Genomic DNA, 15,786 nt, shown 5'->3' with positions numbered 1-15,786 from the left:
CTGTGAACCTAAAACTGCTCTAAAAAATAGAGTATTAATTTAAAACAAAATAAAATAAAGGCGATGTTCTGAATGTTTGTGTCTCCTCATGAACAAAATTGGTGCAAAACAGGCCTGCAGAGCTGCGGTGTCCTTTTTTTTGAGACGGGGTCTCACTCTGTCACCCAGGCTGGAGTGCAGTGGCCGCGATCTCGGCTCACCACAAGCTCCGCCTCCGGGGTTCACGCCATTCTCCTGCCTTAGCCTCCCAAGTAGCTGGGACTATAGGCGCCTGCCACAACACCTGGCTAATTTTTTTGTATTTTTAGTAGAGACGGGGTTTCATCGTGTTAGCCAGGACGGTCTCGATCTCCTGACCTCGTGATCCACCTGTCTCGGCCTCCCAAAGTGCTGGAATTACAGGCGTGAGCCACCACACCCGGCTGCTACTCTGTCCTTTTTCACAATGTGAGGATTCAGCAGGAAGGTGCTGAGACAGGAGGCGGAGCTTGATTCAGGAGGCAGGGCTCCATTCAGGAGGTGGGGTTCGATTCAGGAGGTGGGGCTGGATTCAGGAGGCGGGGCTTGATTCAGGAGGTGGGGCTCAGACACCAGAGGAAATGAGGACAAGCTAAATAAAACAGGAATGGAGAGGAGGGAGCTTTCCATAAGACACACCCACCCACCAATGCGCCATTGTCAGTTTACCATTGCCATGGCAACCATCTGACCACTTGAAAGTTACCACTCTTTTCCTAGAAATTTCTGCATAATCGGCTCCTTGATTTGCATATAATTAAAATGGGTATAAATATGCCTGCAGCCCTGCCTCTGAGCTGCTACTCTGGGCTCACTGCCTATGGGGTAGCCCTGCTCTGCAAGGAGCAGGACCTCGGCTGCTGTGTGCATGGCTGCTTCAATACAAGTTGCTATTCAACACTGTCCTCTCACCCTTGAATTCTTTCCTGCGCAAAGCCAAGAACTCTTGTGGGTTAAGCCCCAATTTGGGGCTCACCTGCCTTGCATCAGCACCTTCTGTAAACCAGGAGACAGGTCCTCACCTAACACCAAATCTGTTGCCTCCAGAACTGTGAGAAATGAATTCCTGGTTTTTTTTGTTTGTTTGTTTTGAGATGGAGTCTTGCTCTGTCACCCAGGCTGGAGTGCAGTGGTGCGATCTCAGCTCACTGCAACCTCTGCCTTCCAGGTTCAAGTGATTCTCCTGCCTCAGCCTCCCAAGTAGCTGGGATTATAGGTGCGTGCCACAACACCTGGCTAATTTTTGTGCTTTTAGTAGAGACAGGGTCTCACCATGTTGGCCAGGCTGGTCTCAAACTCCTCACCTCAAGTGATCCACCTGCCTGGGCCTCCCAAAGTACTGGGATTACAGGCATGAGCCACTGTGCCCAGCCCCTGTTTTTTTTCAAGTGACCTGACTTAGGGTATTTTGTTATAGCAGACCCAGCAGACTATGATGGAAAATAGGTGCTGAGAAGTGGGCTGTTGGTATAACAAACCCCTGGACATGTGGATGCAGCTTCAGAGCTGGATAATGGGTAGAGGCTGGAAAAGTTTTGAGGTGTGTGCTAGGAAAAGCCCACATCACTGTGAACTGACTGTCGGGAATGATTCTGGTGAGGGCTCGGAAGGAGAGCAGGAGAGAAAGCCTCAGTCTTCTTGGAGATGACCTAAGTGGCTGTGAATAGAAGATTGGTGGGGATGCGGACGGGAGAGGCCATGATTGTGAGGTCTCAGATGGAAATGAGGAGCACTTATTGGAAACTGGAGGAAAGGCCATCCTTGTTACCGAGTGGCAAAGAACTTGGCTGAATTGTGTCGCGTCTGGGTGTTCTCTGGAAGGTGGAACTTGTATGCAATGAAACAGGATATTTGGCAGAAGAAATTGCTAAGCAGTGTCAAGAGTGAAGCCTGGCTTCTCTCAATGCTTGGAGTAAAATGCCAGAAGAGAGGAATACTTTAGACAGGTGGAATTTGTAATCAAAAAGGAAGCAAAACTTTAACTTCGGAAAATTCTTAGTCTATCCTCATTGAAAAGAATGAGAAAGTGTATTCAGGAGAAGACACTCAAGGCGTGGCTGCATTCCCATCTGAGAAGGAGACAGTTCCATCTACACTGAAGCCAGGAGCTGTTGTCTAAGACAATGGAAGAGTGGACCGAAGACTTTCAGAGGTTCTGGAGCTGCCCCTCCCATCACAGGCCCAGAATGCCAGGGCCTGGGGGCCAAGATGATTCAAAAGGGGCCACTCTAGCTTAGAATCCACTGGGCCCAGACCTGGCACAGGCCACACTGGCCCTGCTCTCTGGGGACCTAGGGGTGAACCTTTGCTGTGTCTGCATGGTGCTATCTTTGCCAGTTTGCACAGTGCATGAGCTACAGAGCTGTGGCTGCCTCCAGCTAGATTTCTAAAGATGGAGCCAGCTGGAGACACAGGTTCACGACCCACAACATAGACAGGGCATGACTTCAGGGGCTGGGCCCCACAGAGAGGCCCATAGCGGTAATGCCTGCGGGAGCCAAGCTGTGGGGCCAGGGCTCCCTCTCCATCCCAGACCAGTAGAGCCACTGGCTTGTGATTTCAGTCCAAGAGAGTTACAGACGCCACCCAGCAATGTCTCAGGGGCGGTGCCGGAGGAGCCTTGCAGCCCAGTCCCTGCCCCAGTGTGTGCGGAAGGTGGAATGATTATCATTATTATTATTTTTGAGATGGAGTCTCACTCTGTCGCCCAGGCTGGAGTGCAGTGGTGCGATCTCGGCTCATTGTAAGCTCCACTTCCCAGGTTCACGCCGTTCTCCTGCCTCAGCCTCCCGAGTAGCTGGGACTACAGGTGCCCGCCACTACACCTGGCTAATTTTTGTATTTTTAGTAGAGATGAGGTTTCACTGTGTTAGCCAGGATGGTCTCAATCTCCTGACCTTGTGATCGGCCTGCCGCGGCCTCCCAAAGCGCTGGGATTACAGGCATGAGCCACCGCGCCCGGCCTGAACGATTATTCTTGAGTCTAAGACTAGTCTGCCTCACTGGGTTTCGGGCGTGCTTGGGGCCTGTTATCCTGTCTTCTTCACCAGTTATCTCTTTTGGAATGGGAGTGTCTGTGCTACACTTGTCCCACCATTGAATTTTGGAAGCATAACGTGCTTGATTTCACAGGCTCACAGCTGGAGGGAAATCTGCCTCAAGATGAATCGTACCTTTGGTCTCACCCACATCTGATCTAATAAAGGAAAAAAAATAAACAGGCTTTGAGGACTGTTTAGCTGCAGGGAAAATGTTCACCATGTAACGTGAAGTGACAAAGCGAGTTCCTAACTGCAGCTGATTGTCGATCGGCAGAGACTGGCACACTGGAGCAGCATTCGCTGTGATCACACCACGGGCACACACAGAGGAGTCCAGTGTAGTTTGTGTGAGGGAGAGAGAGAGAGATTGGATTTGAGAATGGAACTGAAATTGTGCATGAATGGAATTTGAATTCCAAGACAAACCCCATCTAAATTCTCGCTCCTAGAGATAGCTTAGCCCTGCACAGTTCATCTAACCTGTTTCTACAACGTGGAGTCTTTGGTGGAATGAAGGTAGGGAAAAGCCTCCCTCAGAGGGCTGTTTGAGGGGCGCCCTAATAAAATGCTGATAGTCGAAGAGGCTCTGCAAGCTGTGACGTGCTGGGCAATTGTTCCTCCTAATTTCCAGTGAGAATCGCTTCCACTCGGTGTGTATCCAGAATGAGTATCAGCACAGCTCAAACCTTCTAAGGCTCCGGGACCCAGAGTGGGAGCTTGGGAACACCAAGAAGGCCATGAGGGGAGGGAGCTATGGAGAAGGAGAGAGAGGGAACCACATTGCCAGTGAAAATTCTCCCCCACCTTCTTTTCTTCCCCTCCCTTTCCCTTCTTATTTTTCCCTCCCTTTTCCGTTCTTTCCCCTCCCTCCCTCCCTCCCTACCTTTGTTTCTTTCTCTCTCTCTTTCTTTTTTTCTTTCTTTCCTTCCTTCCTTCCTTTCTCTCTCCTTCCTTCCTTCTTTTCTTTCTTTCATTCTTTCTTTTTTTCTCTTTCTTTCCTTTTTTCTTCTTTTTACTTCTTCATGCATTCAAACACCCATCCAGTGTCCACTGTGCCCCAGGTCTATATCAGGCCTATAACATGAGGCTGGCTCCGTCTAACCTCAAGGAACATCACTTGGGGGACAACGGCTTTTATCACTGGGGGATGCCCGTTCAAGTCCACTGCGTTGTGTCTGCCTTTGTGCGCTCAGCAGAATCCCAGCCACACTCACATTCCCACAAGGACATTCCCCCCATCTCATCCCTTCTGGGTCTCTCTCCCTGTGGCCCTCTGTGCCTAGACTTGGAAAGTTGACCTTCTGTACCCTTTACAATGGTGGCCTTGTTGTTCCCTGGGCGCTGGAGGCCCGAGGAGGCCACTGCTTCTCTGTAGCCTCGCTGTGCTCTGGGCCAGAGTGTGGTGCCCTTGCGCTGGCCCACGATGCCCTGCCTGCCAGGTGAAAGGCACCAGATAACACGACATGTCTTTTTTTTTTTTTTTTTTTTTTTTTTTGAAACAGAGTCTCAGTCTGTCGCCCAGGCTGGAGTGCAGTGGCGTGGTCTCGGCTCACTGCAAGCTCCACCTCCTGGGTTCACGCCATTCTCCTGCCTCAGCCTCCCTAGTAGCTGGGACTACAGGCGCCCGCCACCACACCCGGCTAATTTTTTGTATTGTTTTTAGTAGAGACGGGGTTTCATCATGTTGGCCAGGATGGTCTCCATCTCTGACCTTGTGATCCGCCCGCCTCGGCCTCCCAAAGTGCTGGAATCACAGGCATGAGCCACCGCGCCCGGCCGACATGCCTTTATCGTCATATATACACATAGCAATTAACCAGACAAGAGTTCCTCGTTTCTCTCCTGGCTCTGCCAGAACACGGAGCTGACCCCCTCGGTGCTTGCAGGGGGGCCGCCCTGGCCGTGGTGTTGGTGGCCCAGGGCAGGGTGGAACACCCGCCATCCTCGCACCACACCAGCAGGCTTTTCCTCCAAGAAGAAAGGGGCGGTGATGGGAAGGACGGATGATCCAGTCTTTGTCAGGAAATGGCAATGATGCAGGCCTTGAGCAGGCCTGCGGGTTCCCATAATTGCTGGGCTCATCAAAGAAAATCCATCTAAGCAAATTTAAGAAGAGCCAGCCCCCTGGCTGGGAGCTGCTCAGGCCATTTGTCATTACTTCCTCCTGATAAGGCCAGTGTTTCATCCAGGAAGAATGTGGCTCGCGCGTTCCCAGTCTCTTTCTCGGGCCATTCCGAAGGTGGGAGCTGCGGACCTCTCAAGAGCGCAGACGGAGCCCCCGGCTCTGTTTGCAGAAATTCCACTGCCGGTCTGGGCTGTGAATCATGCTCAGGGTTTGGAAAAAGTTGCAGCATCAAAGCCAACTGAGGTTTGGGGCTCATCCCAGATGTGGTGTCGGGGCAGGGGGAAGGGCAGTGTTCCTTCCCGAGGCTTCCCCATAGGCACTATCTGGGGACAGGGTGGGGGTGGGGGCCATCAAGCTAAGGATGGGACTTAGTCACTGGTCAACGTTCCCAGAAACCTGGATTCCTCCAGTTGACCAGCTCAAACCACAAACACAGCCTCTGCATCCTGGTTCTACAATTCTCTAAGGGGCCTCAAACAATTTCTACGAGTGTCCCCAAGTCCCCAGAATAAAACTGTTCCTCAGCAGGCACACAAACCCTTTTACCATCACCCCAAACATCCAGAATGTTGGTGAGACACCAGGAGCTGGGAGTTGGTGGGGGGGGAGTCTTATTACCAAATAGTGGAAGGACCCCCCAGTCATCTGGCGACAGAGAACTTAGAGAGACCAAAGGCCACTTTTTTTTTATAAACAGAGAAATTGAGGCCCAACAGAGCAAAGGAGTCCCCCCTCCACCCCAGGTCCCAGAGCATTAAACAGCATAAACCACAGGACCTGCATCGACTCTAGAAATGTCCACCATTAGGCTCTCCTCCCACGTGACCTGCTGAGGACATATATGCATTTTTCCACTTTATAAGCAAATTTGCAAGACTTCACATGGAAGTCATTCATCACCACCACCTCTCACCCCATGGCCTCCTTTTGCAAGTCTTCACATCTTGCTCTCTGGCACAGCTGGAGTGCACCCCTCAGGGATATTTTTCCAGAAGGGTGTGCTGCCGCTGAGAGCACGCCCTTCTGCGGCCATCACCCACTGCAGGCAGCTCGCTGGGCATGGAATTTAGAGTCACGTTCTCTATCCTTCAGTGTGTGCTGGAGTGTTGTTGCTCCAGTGGCATTTCATTTCATGCTGCAGAGAGATCTTGGGACCAAGCTGATTCTGCTCCTTTGTAAATGAACTTTCTCTCCCTCTCAGGAGGACGTGAACCCTAAGAATGAGGTTTTCGTGTTTCCCATAAGAAATGAGTGCAGCTCAGCCAAGTTTCTCCATAGGATCCAGGGTCCTGCCTGGGCCTGAAAACCTGGACTCCAACTCTGTCCTGTCACGAAGTGGGTTTGTGGCCTTCAGTTGTCACTTCACTCATTTCTTTAGGGAGATAATACTTCCTTCCTGTATCTGCTAGCTCAGGCATGGTTATGCTGGGAAACAAGCATCCCCTGGCATCTACATGGTTTAAAACAAGAAGGAAGTATTTCTTGCTCCTTGTACCTTGAGGGTCAGGGGCCTGTCCTGTACCTCTGGACACCTTCACTCTGTGGTCCTGGCTGCTGGAGCCTCCACCCCCTGGGAATATCGTCCATGGCCGTGGGAACAGAGGACTTCTCTCAGTGCCTCTGCTCAGAAGTAAAATGGTGGCTTCATTTGCAGGAGCAAGTCAAATGACCATGCTCCACTTCAAGGAGGGAGGAGGTGCTGCCCCCTGCCCAGAAGCTGAGGGAGGTGGGCACTGGTGAGAAGTAGGAATGACAGCTCATTCCCTCCCAGGGTCCACATGGGGGACAAGGAGACCCTGACCCCACAGCCAGCAGCACACCCCGGTGTACGCAAACAGCAGCAAATGCAGGGCCTGGGGACTCTGCCCTGGGCGCTCCATGGTCGCTGACAGTTAACTATGGGAAGCTGGAAAAGCCAGAGGGCGGGTGATGGGGCTCTTTCTGCTCCAGGCCACCAGGTAGAGTAGGAAGTGATACTCCTTGAAGTGGCTCAGGGGCAGCGTGTGCACCCAAAGGAGGAGCTTCAGGGAGGGACAGCTGAGAATACGGCCTGGCCTGGCCTGGCCAGCAGAACAGGGACCATGATCCTGTTTACTTCTCCATTGCCCGTGTGGGTTTCTTTTTTTCTTTTTCTTTTTTTTTTTTTTGTTTTTTATAGACTGGGTCTCGCTATGTTGTCCAGGCTGGTCTTGAACTCCTGGGCTCAAGCGATCCTCCTTGGCCTCCCCAGCAGCTGGGACTGCAGACAGGCACCACCACGCCCGGCCCGTGTGAATTTTTTCTTCTCATTTCCCTTTACTTGATGTAGGTTGGGGACCTTACTCTGGAGATCACTCACGGACACTCCTTTGAAAAGGAAGAATGTTGCAACCTGGCAAAAGTGGGATCATCCAATTTTCTAAATCCCCAGGTCCTTGTGATCCTTAAGAAGTGATCTTGTTTTATCTGAAGCTCCAGATGCAACAGAACTCAGGTGGGAGAGTCTGGTTTCAAGTGCAAAGCCCCATGGAATGGGGCGTGGAATCCCCAGCCCACCCCGTCCAGGGCAGCTGGGATTTTATCTTTATATTCTCTCTCTTTTCTTCCATCTCCTTCTCTTCTCTTTCTCTCTCTCCCTCCCTCTTCCTTCCTGCCTCATCCCCTTTCACCCTGTCTCTCTTCTCTCATTCCCTGCTTCTCTCCTCCTTCTCTTTTCTCTCTGTCTCTCCCTCTGTGTCTCTGTCTCCTCTCTCTCCTCTCTCTGTGTGTCTCTTCTGTCTGTGTGTGTCTGTCTGTCTGTGTCTCTCTCAGTATCTGTCTCTGTATGTCTGTCTCTGTGTCTCTATCTTCTCTCCATCTCTATATGTCTTGCTGTCTGTGTGGGTATCTCTCTCTCCTCTCTGTCTCTGTGTGTCTCTCTGTCTCTGTGTGTCTCTCTATGTGTCTCTCTTTTCTCTGTCTCTGTATGTCTCTCTTTTTCTGTGTGTCTGTCTCTGTGTGTGTCTGTCTCTTCTCTCTGTCTCTGTGTGTGTCTCTGTGTGTCTCTCTCTTCTCTCTGTCCCTGTGGGTGTGTCTCTGTCTCTGTGTGTCTCTCTCTGTCTCTCTCTTCTCTCTGTCTCTGTGTGTGTCTCTGTCTCTATATGTCTGTCTGTCTCTGTGTGTGTCTCTGTCTCTGTGTCTTTCTGTGTGTCTCTCTCTTTTCTCTGTCTCTGTGTCTCTCTGTGTTTCTCTTTCTCTATGTCTCTCTGTGTGTCTCTCTCTTCTCTGTCTCTGTGTCTCTCTGTCTCTGTGTCTCTTCTCTCTGTCTCTGTGTGTCTCCGTCTCTCCATCTCTGTGTCTCTCTGTGTGTCTTTCTCTTCTCTCTGTCTCTGTGTGTTTGTCTCTCTGCCTCTGTCTCTCTGTGTGTCTCTGTGTCTGTCTCTGTGTCTCTTTCTTCTCTGTCTCTGTTTGTCTCTATGTGTCCCTCTCTTCTCTCTGTCCCTGTATGTCTTTGTCTCTGTGTGTGTCTGTCTCTCTGTCTCTGTGTGTGCCTCTGTCTCTGTGTCTCTCTGTGTGTCTCTCTCTTCTCTCTGTCTCTATGTATCTCTGTGTCTCTCAGTCTCTGTGTCTCTCTGTGTGTGTCTTCTCTGTGTCTCTGTGTGTCTGTCTCTGTGTCTCTCTGTGTCTCTGTGTCTCTCTGTCTCTGTGTGTCTCTCTCTGTGCCTCTTTCTTCTCTCTGTCTCCGTGTGTGTCTCTATGTGTCTCTCTTCTCTCTCTCTCCCTCCGTCTTCCGGTCCAGACAACACCACATAATGTTGCTTGGAGCCCAGCAGCCGCATGTGTGATGCCTGAACAACCCACACGTTTTTGCTGTTTTAGGAAAGAAGGACGCCCTCCCTCTCATGGGGACAGGGCAGAGCAAACGACACCCCGGGCTCACCCCGACCCTGGAATAGATTCCTCAGACCCCTGGGACCGCACGCTGGGTGCCCCTCACAGCTCTAAATCCCTTGGAGTCCAGAGACTTCCCTGCTCATGGAAAATGAGCCTCACAGAGGCCGCCAAGGTCTCTCCTTGTCCAGGAGGCCGGTAAACAAGCTGGCGGAGTCCGTGGAGCCCAGTGGGCTGATGACAGTCACAGGCCTGCTGGAACGGCTGGGGCGCCAGCAGATGGAGCAGCCTCAGCTTCCCCTTCCAGGGCCTCATGTTTTCTGCATTGGCCTCAAGTGCCTGCCCGGTGGGCACACACGGTGGGTCGCTGGCTCCCCGCATGGGCTGTGATCCACCGAGGGTCCCTGCCCTGGATCCCACAGCACACGGCCTTCCTGTTCTGTGGGAACCATCTTTGGCACCAGATACACAAAAAGTATGTGTGTCCCTCTGCAGCTTAGGGCCGAGCCAGGGCCTGGCGACAGCTTCCACCGCCGAACGCGGCTTTTCCTGATCAGCCATTTGTCAGAGCCAGACGCGGACTGGGGGCCTAGGGATGTGCACGGGTCCCAGGGGCGGGCGTGGAGAAGGCTGGAACCAAGGAGATTAGAGACTAGAGAAACAGACGTGCCTCTTGCTCTCAGTTTTACTGAACAGATTTTCAAGGCAGTAAAGTTTGATGATGGAAGGAAAAAGAGGGAAAAGCAGTCCAGCTTTTACAGGAAAGCACAAATTCATACGTTGCAGGTTCTCCTCCCCTGCACGGTGAGGAACAGAGAAAAGGGCCAAGGCTCCCCTATCCAAAGGCAGGCAGAGCCACCTGCAGGATCTGCTCCCAGAGAGGGACCAAGCATGTGGGTGGCTAAGGGGCCAGGACCTGCCTGAAAGAGGGGGGACGGCACAACCTGGACACCCCAAAGATCACAGAACATGGAGCTTTAGCAGGAGAGACCACAGATGAGAGTGCAGTCTGCCCCTTATTTTACAGATAAGGAAACTGAGGCACACACAAGGAATGACTTCCACAAGGCTCTGATTGTATCCAGTTTCCTGATTCTTAGTCTAGAATTTTTCTCTGTAAATCTTGGCCGTCTGGGGAGAAAGCTGACTAGGGAGAGGACAAAGGGTTGTGGAATAAGAGTGCAGCTCTCTTGCAGCCACTGAGGCTGAGACAACACGTCCTTGAGTGGGAAGCACAGTGGGTCCATCCTTGGCTCCCCCGTGCTCCTGGATGGACAGGGTAGGAAGGCTCGGCAGAGCACTGCTTAAGAGAAGCAGGCTGTCACTGCATGACTCTAGAGGATACAAGTCACACGGTGTGGACAGATCCCTGGAGTTGTGCAGTACACAACCTGCACAGCCGTCCACAGTGACCCTGAGTCTAACATACCCTGGTCACTTTGCGGCCCTGCATTTGGGGTTTTCACCCTGCTTGTGGGGCCTCCGTTAACGTACAGGGGAAGCGTTAGAATCCTAAACCGGTGAAGACAGACACTGCGGCCCAGGCATAGAACCCGGAGCCCTGGAGAAAGAAGACACTTGCCCACCCATGGTGTGTCTGGTGCCTCCTAGGTTCAGAAACTGATTGTACCCTCTCTGCTGGCCCGTCAGGTAGACCTTGCTGTCCTCAGTTTACAGGTGGACAAAACCGAGGCTCTGAGGCGAGTCCACAGTGAAAACACTCAAACACCAGGCACGCCAGGTCCTGGGCCCCGGCCTGTGTCTGCTGAGAGCTGGGGCTGGGGTGCCGAAACCGCACAGTGCTTCATAGGCACGCAGCGGGTAAGTGGTGACTGTGCACATCTGATGTCACTCAGCGGGGCCACCTGGAGCCTCGTGCCACCTGCCACGTGTGATGAGTACAGGGGCTGGCTCAGCAGCACTTGCTGGATGGAGTGTGAGCTTGGTGATTCATCCCATCTCCTCATGAAGCCCTGTATGGGTCAGGATTCAACAGAGAAACCACCAGCGGCAGATATAAAGACTTCACAAGGAATTAGCTTACGGAATTGGAGGTGTATTAGGTGTGTATACGTATCTCCAGTAGGCTCTTCTCATATATATGTATATGAGTGTATATATATATGTGTGTATGTGTGTATATATATGAGCACCTGTGTTTACATATATTAGTATGTGTGTATATGAGTATACGTGTGTATATATGAGTATGATGTGTGTATATGAATAAACATACATGTGTCTAGATATGTGTATACATATATGTGCATGTATATATGAGTACGTGTGTATATATAGTGTGTGTATATACGAATATATGCGTGTGCATGTATATATGAGTATATATGTGTGCATGTATATATCAGTATATGTGTGTGTATATATGAGTATGTGTGTGTATGAATGAATATATATGTGTGCATGTATATATGAGTATATGTGTGTGTATATATGAGTATATATGTGTGCATGTACGAGTGTGTGTATATATGAGTATGTGTACATGAATATATCAGTATATGTGTGTGCATGTATATATGAGTATATATGTGTACATGTATATGAGTATATATGTGTGCATGTATAAATGAGTATATGTGGATGTGTATATGAGTATATGTGTGTGTATATATGAGTGTGTGTATATATGAGTATATATGTGTGTATATATGAGTGTATGTGTATGTGTATGTAAGTATGTGTGTGTGTATAAGTATATATACATGTGGATGTGTATATCAGTATATGTACATGTGTATATATGAGTATATATGTGTGCATGTATGTGGTGTATGTATGTGCACATGTATATGTGAGTATATATGTGCATGTGTATATATAAGTATATATGTGTGGATGTGTATATATGAATATATATATGTGTACGTGTATATGAGTGTATATGGGTGTGCATATATATGTGAGTATATGTGTATATATATATGAGTATATATACCATACACGTGTATATATATGAGTATATATGTGTGCATATGTGAGTATATAAATGTGTGTGCATATATGAGTATATATGTGTGCATGTGTATATAAGTATATATGTGCATGTATATATGAGTGTATATGTGTGTATATGTGGGTATATGTGTGCACTTGTATATATGAGTATATATACATGAGCATGTGTATATGAGTATATACATGTGCAAGTATAAGTGAGTATATATGTGTGTATATGAGTATATACATGTGTCTATGAGTATAATATGTGTGTATATATGAGCATATATGTGTGTGTATATATGAGTATAAGTGTGTATATGAGTATATATGTGTGTATATATGAGTATATGTGTGTATATGTACATACATAGACATATATATGAGGAGATTTATGATGGAGACCAAGAAGTCTCACAGTCTGCGGTCTACAAGCTGCAGAACCAGGAGAGCCCCTGGTGTTTAATTCAGCCCAAGCCTGAAGGCTGGAGAACCAGGAGCACCAAGGTGAAGGCCAGGAGAAGATGGAAGCCCTAGCTCCAGGAGCAAGCCCCTGGTCAGGTAGGTCCTAGTGTGGCCTGTGGTTTATGGATGATGGAACAGAACCCCAGAGAGGATAAACAACGTGGCTGGTGACCAGCCATGCCGGGCTGTGAACTCAGGTCTGCCCCAGGTGGGCAGTGCCTTGGCTTGATATTGTCCTTGGTGCCAGGGGCAACTCTCAGGCGCTCTCACTGAAGTCCACCCCCAGAAGTCCCCGCACGGTCTGCCCCCCGGGAGACCAGCAGCAGGCCAACTAAGGACGCGGTGCAGCAGTGGGTAGAACAGACCCCACCTCTCCTGGGGGCCTCCATGACAGGGCGAGACGAGTCATCCATTCCCAGGCAGGTGGTGACCCCAGGTGCAGGACAAGGGGCCCCAACAGCTGGGGCAAGGGGAGGCTTCAGGCAGAGGGCATTTCAGCCAGGCTCAGGGTGATAAGAGCCCAGTCGGCACAGGCTGCCATAGCCAATTTCCAGAGTGGGTGGCCCAAGTCACAGATATGGATTTCTCACTGTTCTGGGAACTCAGGCACTAGCAGCTTGGGGGTTGGCCGACCCAGCGCCCATGAGGCCACTTCCCATTGGCAGGATCTCACTGCCGCTGTGTCCTCTCGGGGCCAGAGGGAGGAGCAGACACCCTGGTGTCTTCTTCCCAGGGCACCGATCCTGGTGCAAGCACCCCACCCTCATGTCCTCATCTGCCCTAGTCATTTCCCTGAGGCCTCTCCTGCAAACGCCATCTCACAGGGGATGAGGCTTCGGCATGGGGAGGGACACTCAGTCCACGGGCTGAGTAGAGTGGGACCTCAGGTGAGTGGGAGGTGCGTGGGGGCTGGTGCTTGGGAGGGGAGCAGTGCAGGCCGGGCCATTGGCAGGGCACCTAGAGGGTTCCAGGACCCAGCATGCAGCCCCCAGAGGGTGAAGTGGCTGGAAGAGGGCAGGACAGGAGGCCACAGAGGGCCAGCTGGTAAGAGGCTCACACTGCACCACCTCTGCCTGCACAGTGTTGGGTGGGGAGGAGCAGACCCCTGAGGACTGCTCCACTGGGACTGCCATCCTGGGGCAGGTGCTGCTGGGGGCAGAGTGGGGCCCTGGACTCCTGCAAGGAGCACCCCTGAGCTGGGCCAGCCATTGCTCCTCCCTGAGGAGTGCTCCTTGGGACTCCCTGGGGCGGAGTCTCTGGGCTGTTGGAGGATTCAGACCAGGGAAGGCACTTCTCTGGCTTCCTCCAAGCCCCGGCCTTCTTCCCATCCCCTCATGGGACCCTCAAACGTCCAGCAGATGAGGCCCTGCAGCCACCACTTTCCAGGACAGGCGAGGCCTTTCTCAGTCCCTGTGGAAGATGAAGTAGTGGCTCTGTGGCCAGCCCTGCACTGGGCTGCCCGGGGAACACAGCCTCACTGCCTGGCAGCCCCAGCGGAGGTGTGGCAGGGGACATCAAGTCAGCCACCAGCCCCGAAAGACAGAGAGAAGGTTCCCAACTGATACCTAACCCCAGCACCCCACAAGACATCACCGTAAAGCCAGCATTTGGCCTTGGGGTGACCTCAGAAGGCAAAATGCAGAGCAGACCCTGCCCAGGCCAGCGCTTCCCACACAGACCCGGGGCTACCTCGGGAGACCTTAGAGAGGCAGAGCGGGCATGGCCCAGGGCATAGCGTGCACCTGGCACTTCGGAGATGATTCCTGCATGCAAGGCTGAGTCCTCAAAGGTGCTCGAGGCCCCCGTATTGATTCAGTCACTCAACAAATATGAATGGAGCACATTTTATGTTACATTCCGTGCTAAACATTAGGGAAACCAGCCAAAAAAGAGAAAGAAAGAGACAAAGAAAAAGAGAAGAGAAACAAGAAGGGCTGGGAAGAGAGAGAGGAGGGCAGGTGATTGTAATGACTTCTGGCCGTGCCGTCACCCGGCCTGGCTGCGCCCAGGCGCTCCAGGCGCAGGTGGAGGATGGAGCCTCAGCTCAGCAGGGACCGCAGGCATCGAGCAAGGACAACGGGTCCCGAGGTCAGCACAGGGAAACACGGGCTTGCAGGGAGTAAATGACAAGGTCCCCAAAGGGCGGTGCATGGCAAGAAGGGGCGGCCAGGTGACGCAGGGAGGGGTGAGCTGTGACATGAGGCCCCAAGGGCTGAGCTGGCAGAACCCAGCCGAGTTCAGTTCAGCTGGGAAGGGTAGAGCAGCCTAGATGGGGGTGGGGGCTGTCAGGAGAGGCTTCTCCAGGTGGAGGGAAAGCCCATGAGGAGATCAGTATGGCCGGGGCAGGGTTGTGGGGGTCAGCGTGGCCAGTGGGGGTCGAAGGTAGGTCCAGGTATAGCTCAGCCTTGTAATCTCTGCTGGCTGCAGGGTAAAGAATGGAATGAGAGAGTGGGGGTGGGACCTCCTGACCAGGGAGATCCGTGGGGTGGAGAAGAGGGGATGGATGGGGGGTCTATGGGGCTGCAGGGATGAGAGCAGTGGGACCCCAGTCCCCTGCAGCACCTGCCCTCCCAGTGCTGAGTCCCCCACCTGCCCACCTTGCCCTTCAGCGCTTTCTCGCGGTGGTCGCTATTCCTCCCTCTGGGTGGTCCAAAGTTCCAGGGGCATCGGGGAGAACAACAGAGGAGGAGGATGGGGTGTGACTTCACTTGAACGTGGCGTCCACCCAGCCCAGCCTCTCCCAGGTCTGAGCACAGACACAAGGTGACCCTTTGCTTTCAGGAGAACCCCGGCTCCAGCAGGCTGCAGGGCCACTCAGGTTGGACTTTAGATCATCCGGGAGGCTTCCGGAGCCATGCAGCCAGCTGGCTCAGCGCCTGCCCTGTTCGCTGGCCATGGCGCTGTCTACGTGGGGCACCCTGGGACCCCCGTCTAAGAACGCTGAGTCCCGGGCCTAGTGATGCACAAGCGTGGCCTGAGTCTAGGAACCCCAGGGGGGCCTGGAGGCCAGGCCGGGAGGGGCAGTGAGGCCAGTGGAAGATGTTTGCACAGTGAGTCAGCACAGATGTGGCTCTGTCATTACACGCTTGTCCACGGAGGCAGGAGAAGGCCGCTGCTCCCCAAACCCCACAACGCATGAAAGGGGAGGCCCTGGGAGGGGGCAGGGAGCCCGGTCGCAGACAAAGTCCTCAGAAATGCACCACCCATGGGCCCAGGGCCAGTTTGAATTAGTGAACATCTGAAATGAAGAAACTTTTGTTTTGTTCTCAAAACCCAACTCTGCTCAAACCGCCAGCCGCAGAGAGAGGCCGAGGCTGGCCACCAGCTCAG

The 15,786-nt window shown here is 52.1% G+C and overlaps 3 annotated features.

The window, feature by feature from the left end:
* Window positions 3,938-4,849: an enhancer, noted in NCBI's record as "H3K27ac-H3K4me1 hESC enhancer chr9:137495068-137495979 (GRCh37/hg19 assembly coordinates)". NCBI's record gives its function as "activates a minimal SCP1, AML or CMV promoter by ChIP-STARR-seq in naive H9 embryonic stem cells {active_cell/tissue: H9 hESC(naive)}" and the evidence as "EXISTENCE:reporter gene assay evidence [ECO:0000049][PMID:30033119]".
* Window positions 4,850-5,762: an enhancer, noted in NCBI's record as "H3K27ac-H3K4me1 hESC enhancer chr9:137494155-137495067 (GRCh37/hg19 assembly coordinates)". NCBI's record gives its function as "activates a minimal SCP1, AML or CMV promoter by ChIP-STARR-seq in naive H9 embryonic stem cells {active_cell/tissue: H9 hESC(naive)}" and the evidence as "EXISTENCE:reporter gene assay evidence [ECO:0000049][PMID:30033119]".
* Window positions 12,749-13,250: an enhancer, noted in NCBI's record as "H3K4me1 hESC enhancer chr9:137486667-137487168 (GRCh37/hg19 assembly coordinates)". NCBI's record gives its function as "activates a minimal SCP1, AML or CMV promoter by ChIP-STARR-seq in naive H9 embryonic stem cells {active_cell/tissue: H9 hESC(naive)}" and the evidence as "EXISTENCE:reporter gene assay evidence [ECO:0000049][PMID:30033119]".

This window comes from Homo sapiens, chromosome 9 (genome assembly GCF_000001405.40).
Source record: "Homo sapiens chromosome 9, GRCh38.p14 Primary Assembly".
NCBI classification, from domain to species: domain Eukaryota; kingdom Metazoa; phylum Chordata; class Mammalia; order Primates; family Hominidae; genus Homo; species Homo sapiens.
The sequence above is the reverse complement of the archived record's forward strand: the minus strand, read 5'-3'. Positions and strand labels throughout refer to the sequence as shown.